We start from the raw sequence: 15094 nt of genomic DNA, 5'->3' as shown, positions 1-15094 counted from the left end.
TTTCCAGCAGGTTACTTTGAGAAACTGCAGACATGGCTACTTTTTTATTTTTTAAAAAACTACATCTCTAGAGAAAATCTACAATAGAAAATGTATCTGTATCAGGAAGAAGGCTGCTCTAGGGCAACTTTCATTATCTGATATACTTTTTATCTGCATAACAAGACAATGTGTATGCACAATACATTTTTCCCCCTCATGCTCCCATAACCTGTCAACGCTATGCTCCAGAGATCCCTACCCCTTAATCTTATCTACAGCTAAGGGTGTTATATAAGCCTCAATCATGTGGCCCTTCTTTGAATCTCATATTTTGTGGGACTCCTGTGTATATGAACATTATTGAATGTAATTTTTCTCCTGTTAGTCTGTCTTGTGGCAATTTAATTTGTAGCCCTGTCAAAGAACTTAGAAGGGTGAAGGAAAGCCATTTTCCCTACCCTACAAGCACATAGATGATAATATACCTTTAACTAAAATTTAATTGTGTAGAACAATTATAAGTTTGCAAGTGAATTTTCTAGAATTTAGGAAATATTTCTGTAGAAGGATCACGGCATGTGTTTTCACTCTTCTAGTTTTACCTGAGCTCAATCAGCCTAAGTCTTCTAGAGGCATCCTTATAGTCCAGCAGTCAGCTTTATTGACCCATGGACGTAAAGGGGGCTGCAAATCACAAGGATCACAGGGCGTCTCATTAAACAATGTAAAAGACAATTATTTTAAATTTGGGGAAGGGTGAAGTTGAGGTGAAATTTAAAAGAAGTGATTTAATAGGCGGAAAGCAAAGAAAGCTCCTTATGGAAGGTCAACATCAGATCTGGACACAAATGTTCTTTTTCCTTGGAAACTACAAAATTAAGATACATGAGAAATTTTGTGTTCAGAAACTTTTTATCTGAAGCTCTGCTCCTCGAATAGAATGTGAGGTTGTATGTCTCTGTCAGCGTGAATTAGGTACTCCTAGAAAGGGTGCCATATTTTTTTCTTATCCATATGATTGAAAACAACAAATTTCTGATGTGAAAGATTTTTAAATAAGAAATTTTCTCAGTGAGAAAACAGTTATCACTCAAAGAAGAGAATCATTATGACAATTTACAACTCCAACATGTCCTTGGGTAAAATTGTCTTCTGATATATTTATAACTGGCTTTTTCTTCCCTTGCTATTTTAGTCTGATGAACAGCCAGGCAGATTTTTTTTTTAATTCAGAGATAATTTTAAATTTCTAGTTATATCATGCTTCATAGTACTTAATTATATTTTTAGTTAAGGTCATTTGTCCAATTTTATTCTGTTTGATCTGTTTTAAAGAGTTTTTCACAAACTTGTTGAACTTATTAAATGGCTGTATTTGCTAAAAACTCTCCGCAAGACAAAATACTTAGATTAGCATATATAAAGCCCAAAGAGATATCCTTTTCCTGTTCCAATAACTTTACAATTTAGTTGTTTAAATTAAATAACTGAAAACATTCTGAAGTCATCCATTTGGAAAGATTTAGTGCAAGGGCATCATGTCTTTTTGAACTAGCCCTAGATACCTGAGAGAGACTTCATCTCCCAGAAGATTCATCCGTACATAAGCAATTACTTAAAAACAAGTGGTTTCCAGAGTCGTGCCAATTATGATGAAGAGAGATGGAGAAAATATAAAACAACAAAAGGGAAGTGGAATGGAACTAGGACAGAATGGGGTCAGAGCATAAGAACAAAAGGAAACAGAAAAAGACTGAGCTCTAATTTCAAAGATTATGAAAGTTTGAGTTAATAAAGGAGTAATGGATGTCAACCGAAGGAAGCACACTATTAAACAGCAAGATAATCAAAGAAAAACAGAGATATAGAGGGAATAATTGCAATCAAAATATATTATTTTTAAATAAAGAAAATCATGGAATAAAAAATGAGTAAAAGTAAGGTCAAGAGACAAAGCTTTTGGAGTTTATGGCAGAAAGAATTTCAACTGGGTAAGTGAAAAGGGTGATTATGCATTCGACAAGTTCTGTCCAGTGTTTCATCAATGGGTAATTTCTAATTTTTTTTTTGAGACAGGGTCTCACTCTGTCGCCCAGGCTGGAGTGCAGTGGCGCGATCCTGGCTCACTGCAACCTCTGCCTCCTGGGTTCAGATGATTCTCCTGCCTCAGGCTCCCGAGTAGCTGGGACTACAGGCATGCACCACCACACCTGGCTAATTTTTGTATTTTTAGTAGAGAGGGGGTTTCACCATGTCACCCAGGCTGGTCTCAAATTCCTGTCCTCAAGTGATCCCCCCGCCCTGACCTCCCAAAGTGCTAGGATTAGAGGTGTCAGTCACCACGTCCGCCAGATGGGTAAATTTGTAATCACAAAATTGTGGTATATGATTGATCCATTATAGTATTCAATCAATACTGAAAACCTCCTGAGAGTAAGAAACAATTTTAATGTAGGTGTTTTTAAATAAGATAGTGCATGTTTCTATGAAAAAATAACTGTCATATTATGTATTTAAAATTATTTTTCAGATGTAAGAAATTAAAATTACTTATACTCAAACAAAAAAATTATTAAAAATTCAATCGACTTATATAAGAAAGATTAATCTGTTAGTTAATCTGAAAAATTAAAAGGTAATTTACTTCAACCTAATAAATCAAACTATATTTTTCTCTGATTTTTATTTTAAGCTCTTGTTAAGTCACATCCACAGATTTCCATTTAGGCTGTCTTAGAAGTAAAACGAGAAACACTCGAGTCTAGAGCAATATATACAGGTTTTCACATGTGGGGTTGATCATCATGTGCTTCACGTAAATATTAGGTCATGGCATCTGACAAATTCAGCAGCATAAGTAAAAGTAAAATACAAAAATGTCATTTCATAATATGGTTCTGGATATTTATTTTATAATTTTTAGTTATCAAAATGATTTTTGAATTTTGAATATAGAAAATTATGAGTATAATTGCCTTATTCACATTACTCATAGAAGTTAAGAATTAAGATAGAATTATTTCATACTAGCTTTTCAAAATAGCTTTGCCCAGCGATTTCTATTGGAACATAAATTAAAATATTTTTAAAATCTGCCAATCAGATGCCGTAGGAACCTATAAAAAATATCTGAAAGCCTCAAGTTCAAAGTGCTTTGGCTCCAGAATCAGACGTCTTGGATTGACAGTCATGGCTCCACTTTGAATAACTTCTTCAGCTTCTTTGTGTTTTGGTTTTCTCATTTGTGAAACAAGTAGGATAAAAGCAAGCTAACAGGATTTACAAAGATCACATTAGCTAACAGTCTAGTGACTGGCAATTCACCATTCACTATGTTAGCTACTTTTTGCTGTTCTTAACAATGCTCCCTGATGACCTTTAAAGAAAAAAAAATGGATTATACCAAAAGACATTAACAGTTGACATTGGCACTTGAATTCAAAAATAGTTATTACATGTACTGGTTGGCCGTGAATGACACATATGTTGGAATATATTAGCTTTAAGAAATCTGCAAATATATTATTTAGTATTTATTGTTAAAGAACACCCTTTCTTTGTGTTTCTTATTCTATGTCACCCATCAGTATCTAGGGCATTTTTTTCTGTATTAGGGTAATGAATTCATAATCTAGGCTCCTTTACCAGTGTAAAGGAGGAAAAAAATATTTTCCTTCTTCCCATCTTAGGTTCAGTGGGTGGAATCCTGCAATTTAGACTCACCAAAGACATATAAGCAACAAAAAAACAGAAGTTTATTGACAAGTGCGTTGCACATACACACGGGAGAATTCAGGGATGAGTAATTCAAAGAATTGGTTAGAACTTGGTCTTATATAGTATTTTAACAAAAATACAATAAATTTGTAGAGAAGCGACAAGACAAAGGAAGGGGTTCTCAGGGGTATGAATTGTGGGAAGGTAGATATATGGGGAGATTAGTGGAATATAAGGGTTATTTAAGCAAGGTCTGTTGAGTATATTCCTCTGTTGCCTTCTCTAGGATGATAAGACCCTAGAGTTGTCTTTGGTGATTAAAAATCATCCAATCCTTCCTGGTAGAAAGGGGGCGGCCAGAGAGTTTTTCTTGTGTCTCTCTATTTTTTGTCTTTCACAATTGTCTTCAGTTCAAAATAATCCAGTGCCAGAGGAGCACATTTTATGGTGGCATACTCTGTACTTCTTCATTACCCAGTCAAGCAAAGCTGCAGATTTATTACCTTTTTATAAAATGAGAAAGATGCTAGATCCTTGCTTCTCAGTGTATGGTCCTGGCCAGTGACATTTGGAAACATATGAAATGAAAAACCATAGGCTGCATGTCAAGGGTGCATTAATCAAAATTTGCATTTTGGCAATACCCTTAGGTGATTCATGTGCCCATTAGAGCTTGAGAAGCACTGCTTGGAAGCCCCTTCTGCCATCAATGAGGTAAAGCCAATGTATGCACCGTTTACTTTGTAGACCCATTTTATAGTCTAAATGCCCTTAGCGACAGTGGATACATGCAGTAGCTTTGGGTTTATGCGGGAAACAACATTCGGCGTTGGTGAACGCGAGGGTAGGACACATGAGGATGGAGAGAGAACATTTCTATTTATAAGGGAATTCCTAGAATGAAGCCGCCAAAGTCTTCACTGTCTTTCTTCAAAACTCTGTCTCCTAAACATAGGTTTTGGTCACCTGTACGTTTGACAGTAATAGCTTCCCAATTGACCTTCGAATTTACAGACTCTATTCTCAAAACTAGTGCTTAGAAATAAACTATGAGAATTTTAAAAACTGGTTTCACAATGATTTTTTGCCCTTCACCTGCTTTCAGTGTACTCACTTCCAAGTGGGCATCAGGATTTCCTAGACTGTTAGCTTCAGTGTATTGTTCAATATGGAAATATATTTTTTTTGATGAGAAGTATCTGTCATATAATGTTTAAACATGAAATCATCAAGAGAAGACAAAACTCATTTTGAAACTAATTTTAAAGTTACCTTTGGTGACTTTTGAACATTATTTTTGAAGACAAATCTTATGAATTAGATCAATTTAGAAGCTACAACTGCTAAATACGTATGTGACTAGAACTTAGGTTTACTGGGCCAATTTCTAAACAAAGACAAAATTACATGTTTCAGCCAGGGGCCATGCAGAGTCTAGTTAAAATGTAGTAAATTCAGTCAGCGCTTTCTGGGTTTAGATGTAATCTGGGACTGAGCTGGAATGTGGCTCAGAGTGGGATGAAGGCAGAAAGACTGGAGTTGAATCTTGGAGCTGAAATGTAGCTATTAGTGCAGTCTTTCCAGAATTGCTGACGTTTTTTGCACATTTGTTTTCTAAACTGATAATTGGTTATAATAATACATATCTCACTGTTTCATTAAAATAACTGATATTAACTATGCCTCCAAACACAGAGCAGGCATTCAATGAAAGTTACATCATATCTCCAATAATTACATTTAATTATTGGAGCTCTTTCATGAATCCATTCTTTTTATCTTTCTAGGACTGTGTGATTGGGTTAAAGGGCTCAGTGCGGGGACTCTGTTTTCTGGTTTCAGTACCACAATGGACACAGGCAACAAAACTCTGCCCCAGGACTTTCTCTTACTGGGCTTTCCTGGTTCTCAAACTCTTCAGCTCTCTCTCTTTATGCTTTTTCTGGTGATGTACATCCTCACAGTTAGTGGTAATGTGGCTATCTTGATGTTGGTGAGCACCTCCCATCAGTTGCATACCCCCATGTACTTCTTTCTGAGCAACCTCTCCTTCCTGGAGATTTGGTATACCACAGCAGCAGTGCCCAAAGCACTGGCCATCCTACTGGGGAGAAGTCAGACCATATCATTTACAAGCTGTCTTTTGCAGATGTACTTTGTTTTCTCATTAGGCTGCACAGAGTACTTCCTCCTGGCAGCCATGGCTTATGACCGCTGTCTTGCCATCTGCTATCCTTTACACTACGGAGCCATCATGAGTAGCCTGCTCTCAGCGCAGCTGGCCCTGGGCTCCTGGGTGTGTGGTTTCGTGGCCATTGCAGTGCCCACAGCCCTCATCAGTGGCCTGTCCTTCTGTGGCCCCCGTGCCATCAACCACTTCTTCTGTGACATTGCACCCTGGATTGCCCTGGCCTGCACCAACACACAGGCAGTAGAGCTTGTGGCCTTTGTGATTGCTGTTGTGGTTATCCTGAGTTCATGCCTCATCACCTTTGTCTCCTATGTGTACATCATCAGCACCATCCTCAGGATCCCCTCTGCCAGTGGCCGGAGCAAAGCCTTCTCCACGTGCTCCTCGCATCTCACCGTGGTGCTCATTTGGTATGGGTCCACAGTTTTCCTTCACGTCCGCACCTCTATCAAAGATGCCTTGGATCTGATCAAAGCTGTCCACGTCCTGAACACTGTGGTGACTCCAGTTTTAAACCCCTTCATCTATACGCTTCGTAATAAGGAAGTAAGAGAGACTCTGCTGAAGAAATGGAAGGGAAAATAAATCTCCTCTACCACAACAGATGTCCTGTAAATGGTCTCTGCATCTATACAGAGGTTCCAAGTAAGAATGTGGAGGAATAGGGCAAATCTTTCTTGGTACACAGAGAAAAAACAAACAAACAAAACAAGCAATACTGTATTTTCTATACATTATCATGTATGATAAAAATGGGAGTTTTTGACATAAGCAAATGGGATTTTTAAGCAAAAAATAATTATACATTGAATTAGGTTTGCTCTGGACTTTGGTTTATAAATTAGAGACATCTGCAATAAAAAGAGTGCTTTGGTATATCAGCTCTAAATTCTTGTTTCTTTTTAAAGATTAGCAAAATTGTCTTAGTATAAAATATTGAGAACTACATTTGTGGAACACGAGGGAAGAGAAATAGGCAAAGGTTAAATGAATTAAAACATGTAACTGAAATTAGAGTGTGTGCAGTTATTGCAGCATAGTATTTTTTGATAAGGTATAGTCAAACAGACAGATATGGAATTAGAACTTGATCATTACAAGGTGCCACATTTGTTTCACAAGGATAGTGAACAAAGCAATCCAAAAAGTGGAGGATGAAAAGTAGATAAACGGGACTGCAGGAGAGTTTGAACAAAGCAACAGAAGTTTCTTGCATAACAACATTGATCATAGAAAAGGAAAAATACTAAAGATTCCATTGGCAAGTCAGCAAGTATAGAACATCCAGTGGTTTCAGGGAAAACATAACCATAGGAAACAATAATTGTAATAACTATCTGATTTTCCTCTAAAGTACTGCATTCCACAGAAAGCAAAATACTTTCCTTTTCAACCATCAACACATGATAGGTCCCTTCTCCTCCCTTTCCTCATTATTGTATGGCTGTGGAAAATGGGGGCTCCAGCAGGCTAACATAGGCTACAGGGATATTCTGTTTGTCTTACTCATATTGACTCACATGTGTACAAAGTAGACAAAGTAGTCTGCTTCTCAAAGAAATGCCTAAGGGGCTGAATAGAAGCTATTCTTCAGGCCGGGCGCAGTGGCTTACGCCTGTAATCCTAGCACTTCGGGAGGCCAAGGCGGGCAGATCACCTGAGGTCAGGAGTTCGAGACCAGCCTGACCAACATGGAGAAACCCCGTCTCTACTAAAAATACAAAATTAGTCGGGTGTGGAGGCGCACGCCTGTAATCCCAGTTACTCGGGAGGCTGAGGCAGAACAATCGCTTGAACCCAGGAGGCGGAAGTTGCAGTGAGCCGAGATCGCGCCATTGCACTCCAGCCTGGGCGACAAGAGCGAAAACTCTGTCTCAAAAAAAAAAAAAAGAAAAGAAGCTACTCTTCAGACCTTGCTTGTTTGTATGATTTGAAACCCCTTCTGGTTTCAAAAGTAAAGTGGTATAATACAGAACAAGAAAGCTATATGTCTGAAGAAAATAGGGGAAGATATCTCATTGTGAGAATGATGCATATTAACTTTCAGAAGTTGTATCTATGTCGAAAGTCTACCTCTTAAGGTACCTATGATGGTTAATACTGAGCGTCAACTTGATTGGATTGAAGGATACAAAGTATTGATCCTGGGTGTGTCTGTGAGGGTATTGCCAAAAGAGATCAACATTTGAGTCAGTGGACTGGGAAAGGCAGACCCAACCTTAATCTGGTGGGCACAATCTAATCAGCTGCCAGGGAATATAAAGCAGGCAGAAAAACGTGAAAAGGAGAGATTGGCCTAGGCTCCCAGCCTACATCTTTCTCCTGTGCTGGATGCTTCCTGCCATTGAACATCTGACCGAGGCAATAGTGATGGCCTCCCCTGATGCAGTTGCCAGGCAAGATAATGTTGATTCTCCTCAGGAGCCACCCCCAATGCCTCTGTTTACTTCCAGACCTATAACTAGACTAAAGTCGCAGTGGGCCCCTAGAGGTGAGGTTGAGAGTGTGACCCTTGAGGAGGTGTGCTACACTCAAAAAGAACTGTTTGAGTTCTGTAATTTATATAAACAGAAATTTGGAGAACAGGCATGGAATGGATATTAAGGGTATAGGATAATGGTGGAAGGAACATAAAGTTGGATCAGGCTGAATTTATTGATTTGGGCCCACTAAGTAGGGACCCTGCTTTTAATGTTGCAGATCAGGGAGCTAAAAAAGGTTCTAATAGTTTATTTGTTTGTTTAGCTGAAATATGGCCCACTGTGAGTGAGCTAGAAATGCCTGATCTCTGTTGGTTTAATGCAGAGGAACAGATCCAAAGGCTTAGGGAGATTGGGATGGTAGGGTGGATTAGTCACTTTAGACCTACTCATCCCAGCTGGGAGGGTCCAAAAGATATACGCTTGACCAATGCCTTGCGAATTAGATTTGTGAGGACAGCACCTGCATCTTTGAAGAGCTCTGTAATTGCTCTTCTCTGTATGTCACATCTAACTGTGGGAACTGCAGTTACTCAACTACAAAATTTAAATACAATGAAAATAATTGGATCCCAAGGAGTCAGGGGCCAAGCAGCAGCACTCAACTGTAAAAGGCAAAGTGGGCGTAGCTACCTTGAAGGGGAGGCTCGGTCCCCTTGAGGAGGGACCCCACTACATTACCAACAATTTATGCAGTGAGTCTTTCTCCCATCCTTCCTCAAGGAGACCTCTGGCCTTTTACCAGGGTAACTGTACATTGGGGAAAGGGAAATGATCAGACATTGTGGGGACTACTGGACACTGGTTCTGAACTGACATTGATTCCAGGGGATCCAAAATATCACTGTGGACCTCCAGTTAAAGTAGGGGCTTAGGGAGGTCAGGTAATTAATGGAATTTTAGCTCAGTCTGACTTACAGTGGGTCCAGTGGGTCCCCAGACTTACCTTGTGGTCATTTCCCCAGTGCCAGAACTTAGCAGAACTTAGCAGCTGTCAGAACCCTCACATTGGCTCCCTGACTGGTAGGATGAGGGCTATTATGGTGAAAAAGGCCAAAAGAAAGCAATTAGAGCTGCTCTACCTAGAAAAATAGTAAATCAAAAACAATGTTGCATCCCTTGAGGGACTGTGGAGATTAGTGCCACTATCAAGAACTTGAAAGATGCAGGGGTGGTGATTCCCACCACATCCCCATTCAACTCTCCCATTTGGATCTTGGAGAATGACAGTGGATTATTTTAAGCTTAACCAAGTGGTGACTCCAATTGCAGCTGCTGTACCAGATGTAATTTTATTGCTTGAGCAAATTAACACATCTCCTGGTACTTGGCATGCAGCCATTGACTTGGCAAATGCGTTTTTCTCCATTCCTATCTATAAGGCACACCAGAAGAAATTTGCCTTCAGCTGGCAAGGCCAGAAATATACCTTTACTGTCCTACCTCAGGGATATATCAACTCTCCAGCTTTGTGTTATAATCTTATTCAGAGAGATCTTGATCACTTTTTGCTTCCACAAGATATCACACTGATTGGCTACATTGATGACATTATGCTGACGGATCAAAAGAGCAAGAAGTAGCAAACACATTGGACTTATTGGTGAGACATTTGCATGCCAAAGGATGGGATGGGAAATAAATCTGACTAAAATTCAGGGACCTTCTACCTCAGTAAAATTTCTAGGGTTCCAGTGGTTATGGGGCCTGTTGAGATATTCCTTCTAAGGTGAAGGATAATTTGCTGCATTTGGCCCTTCCTACCAAGAAAGAGGCACAACGCCTAGTGAGCCTATTTGGACTTTGGAGGCAACACATTCCTCATGTGGGTGGGTTACTGTGGCCCATTTATCCAGTGACCTGAAAGGCTGCCAGTTTTGAGTGGGGTCCAGAACAGGAGAAGGCTCTGCAACAGGTCCAGGCTGCTGTGCCAGCTGCTCTGCCACTTGGGCCGTATGACCCAGCAGATCCAATAGTGCTTGAGGTGTCAGTGGCAGATAGTGATGCTGTTTGGGAGCCTTTGGCAGGCCTCCATAGGTGAATCACAGTGGACGCCTCTAGGATTTTGGAGCAAGGCCCTGCCATCTTCTGCAGATAACTACTCTCCTTTTGAGAGACAGCTCTTGGCCTGTTACTGGGCTTTGGTGGAAACTGAAAAATTGACTATAAGTCATCAAGTCAACATGCGACCTGAACTGCCTATCATGAACTGGGTGCTTTCTGACCCATCCAGCCATAAAGTGGGTTGTGCACAGCAGCATTCCATCATCAACTGGAAGTAGTATATATGGGATCAGGCTCCAGCAGATCCTGAAGGCACAAGTTACATGAGGAAATGGCTCAAATGCCCATAGTCTCCACTCCTGCCACCTGCCTTCTCTCCCCAAAGCCTGCACCGATGGCCTCATCAGGAGTTCCCTATGATAAGCTGACAGAGGAAGAGAGGACTAGGGCCTGGTTTACCGATGGTTCTGCATGATATGTAGGCACCACCAGAAAGTGGACAGCTGCAGCACTACAGCTCCTTTCTAGGACATCCCTGAAGGACAGCGGTGAAAGGAAATCTTCCCAGTGGGCAGAACTTCAAGCAGTGCACCTGGTTGTGCACCTTGCATGGAAGGAGAAATGGCCAGATGTGTGATTATGTACTGATTCATGGGCTGTAGCCAATGGTATGGCTGGATGATCAGGGACTTGGAAGAAGCATGATTGGAAAATTGGTGACAAAGAAATCTGGGGAGGAGGCATGTGGGTGGACCTCTCTGAGTGGACAAAAACTGTGAAGATATTTGTACCCCATGTAAGTTCTCAGCAATGGTTGACCTCAGCAGAGGAAGATTTTAATAATAAAGTGGACAGAATGACCCATTCCATGGACACCACACAGCCTCTTTCCCCAGCCACCTCTGTCATCGCCCACGTCTTTGGCCCATGGACAAAGTGGCCATGGTGGCAGGGATGGAGGTTACACATGGGCTCAGCAACATGGACTTCCACTCACCAAGGCTGACCTTGTTACGGCCACTGCTGAGTGCCCAACTTGCTAGCAGCAGAGACCATCACTGAGACCTCGATATGGCACCATTCCTCAGGGTGATCAGCCAGCTACCCAGTGGCAGGTTGATTATATTGGACCTCTTCCATCTTGGAAAGGGCAGAGATTTGTGCTCACTGGAATAGACGCTTACTCTGGATGGGAGTTTGCCTATCCTTCATGCAAGGCTTCTGCCAAGACTACCTTCCATCAACTCATAGAATGTATTATCCACTGTCATGGTATTCCACATAGCGTTGCCTCTGACCAAGGCACTCACTTTATGGCTGAAGAAGTGCAGCAGTGGCTCATGTTCATGGAATTCACTGGTCTTACCATGTTCCCCATCATCCTGAAGCAGCTGGATTGATAGAATGGGGGAATGGCCTTTTCAAGTCACAATTGCAATGCCAACTAGGTGACAGTACTTTGCACGGCTGGGGCAAAGTTCTTCAGAAGGCCATGTATGCTCTGAATCAGCGTCCAATATATGGTACTGTTTCTCCCATAGCCAGGATTCACGGATCCAGGATTCAGTGGGTGGAAATGGAAGTGGCACCACCCACCATCACTCCTAGTGATCCAGTAGCAAAATTTTTGCTTCCTGTTCCCACAATATTACGTTCTTCTTGTCTAGAGGTCTTTGTTCCAGAGGGAGGAATGCTGCCACCAGGAGACACAACAATGATCCTATTAAACTGGAAGTTAAGATTGCCACTTGGACACTTTGGGCTCCTCCTATCTTTAAGTCAACAGGCTAAGAAGGAAGTTACCGTGTTGGCTGGGGTGATTGGCCCAGGCTATCAAGATGAAATCAGTCTACTACTCCACAACGGAGGTGAAGAAGAGTATGCATGAAAACCAGGAGATCCATGAGGGCATCTCTTAGTATTACCATGCCCTGTGATTAATGTCAATGGGAAACTACAACAGCCCAATCCAGGCAGGACTACAAATGGCCCAGACCCTTCAGGAATGAAAGTTTGGGTCACTCCATCAGGAAAATAACCACGATGTGTTGAGGTGCTTGCTGAGGGCAAAGGGAATACAGAATGGGTAATAGAAGAAGGTAGTCATCAGTACCAACTGTGACCACATGACCAGCTGCAGAAATGGGGACTGTAATTGTCATGAGTATGTCTTCCTTCTTTTGTTAAAAACATGTTTGTGCATGTATACACTTGTATTGAGAAAATATCTGTATTTTATTTCTTTTTTCCTTTATCATGTGACATAAAATTTATTGACTTCATATCAGCATTTAAATATTGTTAACTTTATGTAATAGTATTTGAGTTGGGGATTGGTGTGTTTCCAGTTGTATGAGGGATAGTTGTATTATGTTAGGCATAATTATGACCTTATTATTGTCTTTATTTGAAGATTAGGTATGATTTCAGGAGATGTGTATGGGTTCAAGTTGACAAAGGGTGGACTTGTGATGGTTAATACTGAGCAACAATTTGATTGGATTGAAGGATACAAGGTATTGCTCCTGGGTGTGTCTGTGAGGGTGTTGCCAAAAGAGATTAACATTTGAGTCAGTGGGCTGGGGACGGCAGATCCACCCTTAATGTAGTGGACACAATCTAATCAGCTGCCAGGGAATATAAAGCAGGCAGAAAAACATGAAAAGGAAAGATCTAGCCTCCCAGCCTACATCTTTCTCCTGGGCTGGATGCTTCCTGCCCTCCAACATAGGACTCCAAGTTCTTCAGTTTTGGGACTCGGACTGGTTCTCCGTGCTCTTCAGCTTGCAGACACCCGATTGTGGAACTTTGTGATCACGTAAGTTAATACTTAGTAAACTCTCCATACATGTATATATATGTTAATATATATCCTATTAGTTCTGTCTCTCTAGAGAACCCTAATACAGTACTCATAAAAAACACTGCGTACCTGATCTGTTCCCTTCATTTATTCATTCTGAGGATTAGTTTCAGATCCATGGCATTCCTAAACATATTCTTGGAGATTTCTAAAAATCAAAATTCCTAATAAAAATCAGATTGCTACCCTCTGAGGATGAATAGCCTTCCTGTTTCCATAGGTTAGGCCTCAATTTCCAAAACCTCCAAAAGCAGCACCTACTATCTATCTCAACAAGAGTTATCTTCAACACCTCTCTACTTCTGCTACTCACCTCAGTACTGAAAAGAAGAATGTAGTCTTCAGCTTTTCAAGTGAATGAATCATTTTGATATGGAATTGTATCTAAAACTTAATGTTAAGTGAAGGAGTATCGAAATGAACAGAATGCTTTCATTGACTCAGGTCTTTTCTTTCTATACTGATTTAAAAACACACCCCACTTAAGCATAATTTGCATAATTAATTTTCAAGCAAATATACTTGACTACTAGAATTCTGATTCACTTTTCTTTCTTCTTTCTTTAGCCTATAACTTACGATGATACATTTGTAGATAAAATACATATTATTCAGAATTATCTTCCAGTAATAAATTACTGGCAGTGGAAAAACAATAGATGCCCCATCAGGGAAAATAGAAGTTTGAAAAAAATAGGTTTAACCATAATAAATTGCCTTTGTACAACAAATACAGCACTGAAGGAATATAACAATCAATCTAAAAATTAAATCTATGCACACATAATTTTTGTACAATGGTGAGGGTAAAATTAAATTATATTTAGTCATTATATTCAAAACAGCAATTCCATTACTATCTACCAAAAAGAAAATAAATCATTACAATATATAAAGACACATGCACACGTATGTTCATTGCAACACTATTCACAATAGCAATGACATGGAATCAACCTAAATGTCCATCACAAATAGACCGGATAAAGAAAATGTGGTACATACACACCATGGAATACTATGCAGCTGTAAAAAAGAATGAGATCATGTCGTCTGCAGAAACATGGATGGAGCTGGAGACCATTATCCTTAGCAAACTAACCCAGGAACAGAAACCAAATTCCACATGTTCTCACTTTTAAGTGGGAGCTAAATGGTGAGAACACATGGACACATAGAGGGGAACAATACATACTGGGGCGTATCATGGGTGGAGGGTGGGAGGAGGAAGAGAATCCAGAAAAATAACTAATGGCTACTAGGCTTAATACCTGGGTGATGAAATAATCTGTGCAACAAACCCCCATGACACAAGTTTACCTACGTAACAAACCTGAACATGTACCCCAGAATTTAAAACAAAACTTAGATAAATAAACAAATACATTTATTAAAAGTAGTTCAGGATTTGCTAGCAATTCTCCCACATTTCACCCCACCCATAACATTACATATGATCAAGGACTATATTATTACTAAGCTGGTTTTGTTATTTTATTCTGTCTTCTTTTTCCTCCTTCAGTGTGTATCTGATATTCATTTCAAGTATGCTTGAGTTTATTTGCTTTCATTTTCTTTCAGTTTTAGGACTTCCATGTTTCTCATTGTTATAGATTTTATGTTTTGAATATGAAGAATATTAACATGCTTCACAAGTCAAAAATGCACAAGAAGATACATGCAAGAAGGGATATTCCCTGCCCTATACCTTTTACTTCTTCCCACTTTTCACCTATTGTAGCTAATACACTAAAATGTTTTTTACTTTTATTTTCTGTGTTTTCATTTGTAGGCTAGCAGATATGCTTTCTCTATTTTCCTTTTCTTTCTATACAAGAGGTTGTACTCTATATTTTT

The 15094-nt window shown here is 39.9% G+C and overlaps 1 protein-coding gene across 1 annotated transcript; it reads left to right on the top strand.

Annotated features, from left to right (window-relative positions):
• Window positions 1-1657: 1657 nt before the first annotated feature.
• Window positions 1658-6868, top strand: OR6F1 (olfactory receptor family 6 subfamily F member 1). The gene is made up of 3 exons (NM_001005286.2): window positions 1658-1973; window positions 4350-4413; window positions 5487-6868. The coding sequence occupies exon 3, from the start codon at window positions 5549-5551 to the stop codon at window positions 6473-6475; it is 927 nt and encodes a 308-aa protein (NP_001005286.1). The 5' UTR covers window positions 1658-1973; window positions 4350-4413; window positions 5487-5548; the 3' UTR covers window positions 6476-6868.
• The last annotated feature ends 8226 nt before the right edge of the window (window positions 6869-15094 follow it).

The sequence above is a fragment of the Homo sapiens genome, chromosome 1 (genome assembly GCF_000001405.40).
Source record: "Homo sapiens chromosome 1, GRCh38.p14 Primary Assembly".
Classification (NCBI taxonomy): Eukaryota; Metazoa; Chordata; class Mammalia; order Primates; family Hominidae; genus Homo; species Homo sapiens.
This window is presented reverse-complemented; position numbering and strand designations above follow the sequence as displayed.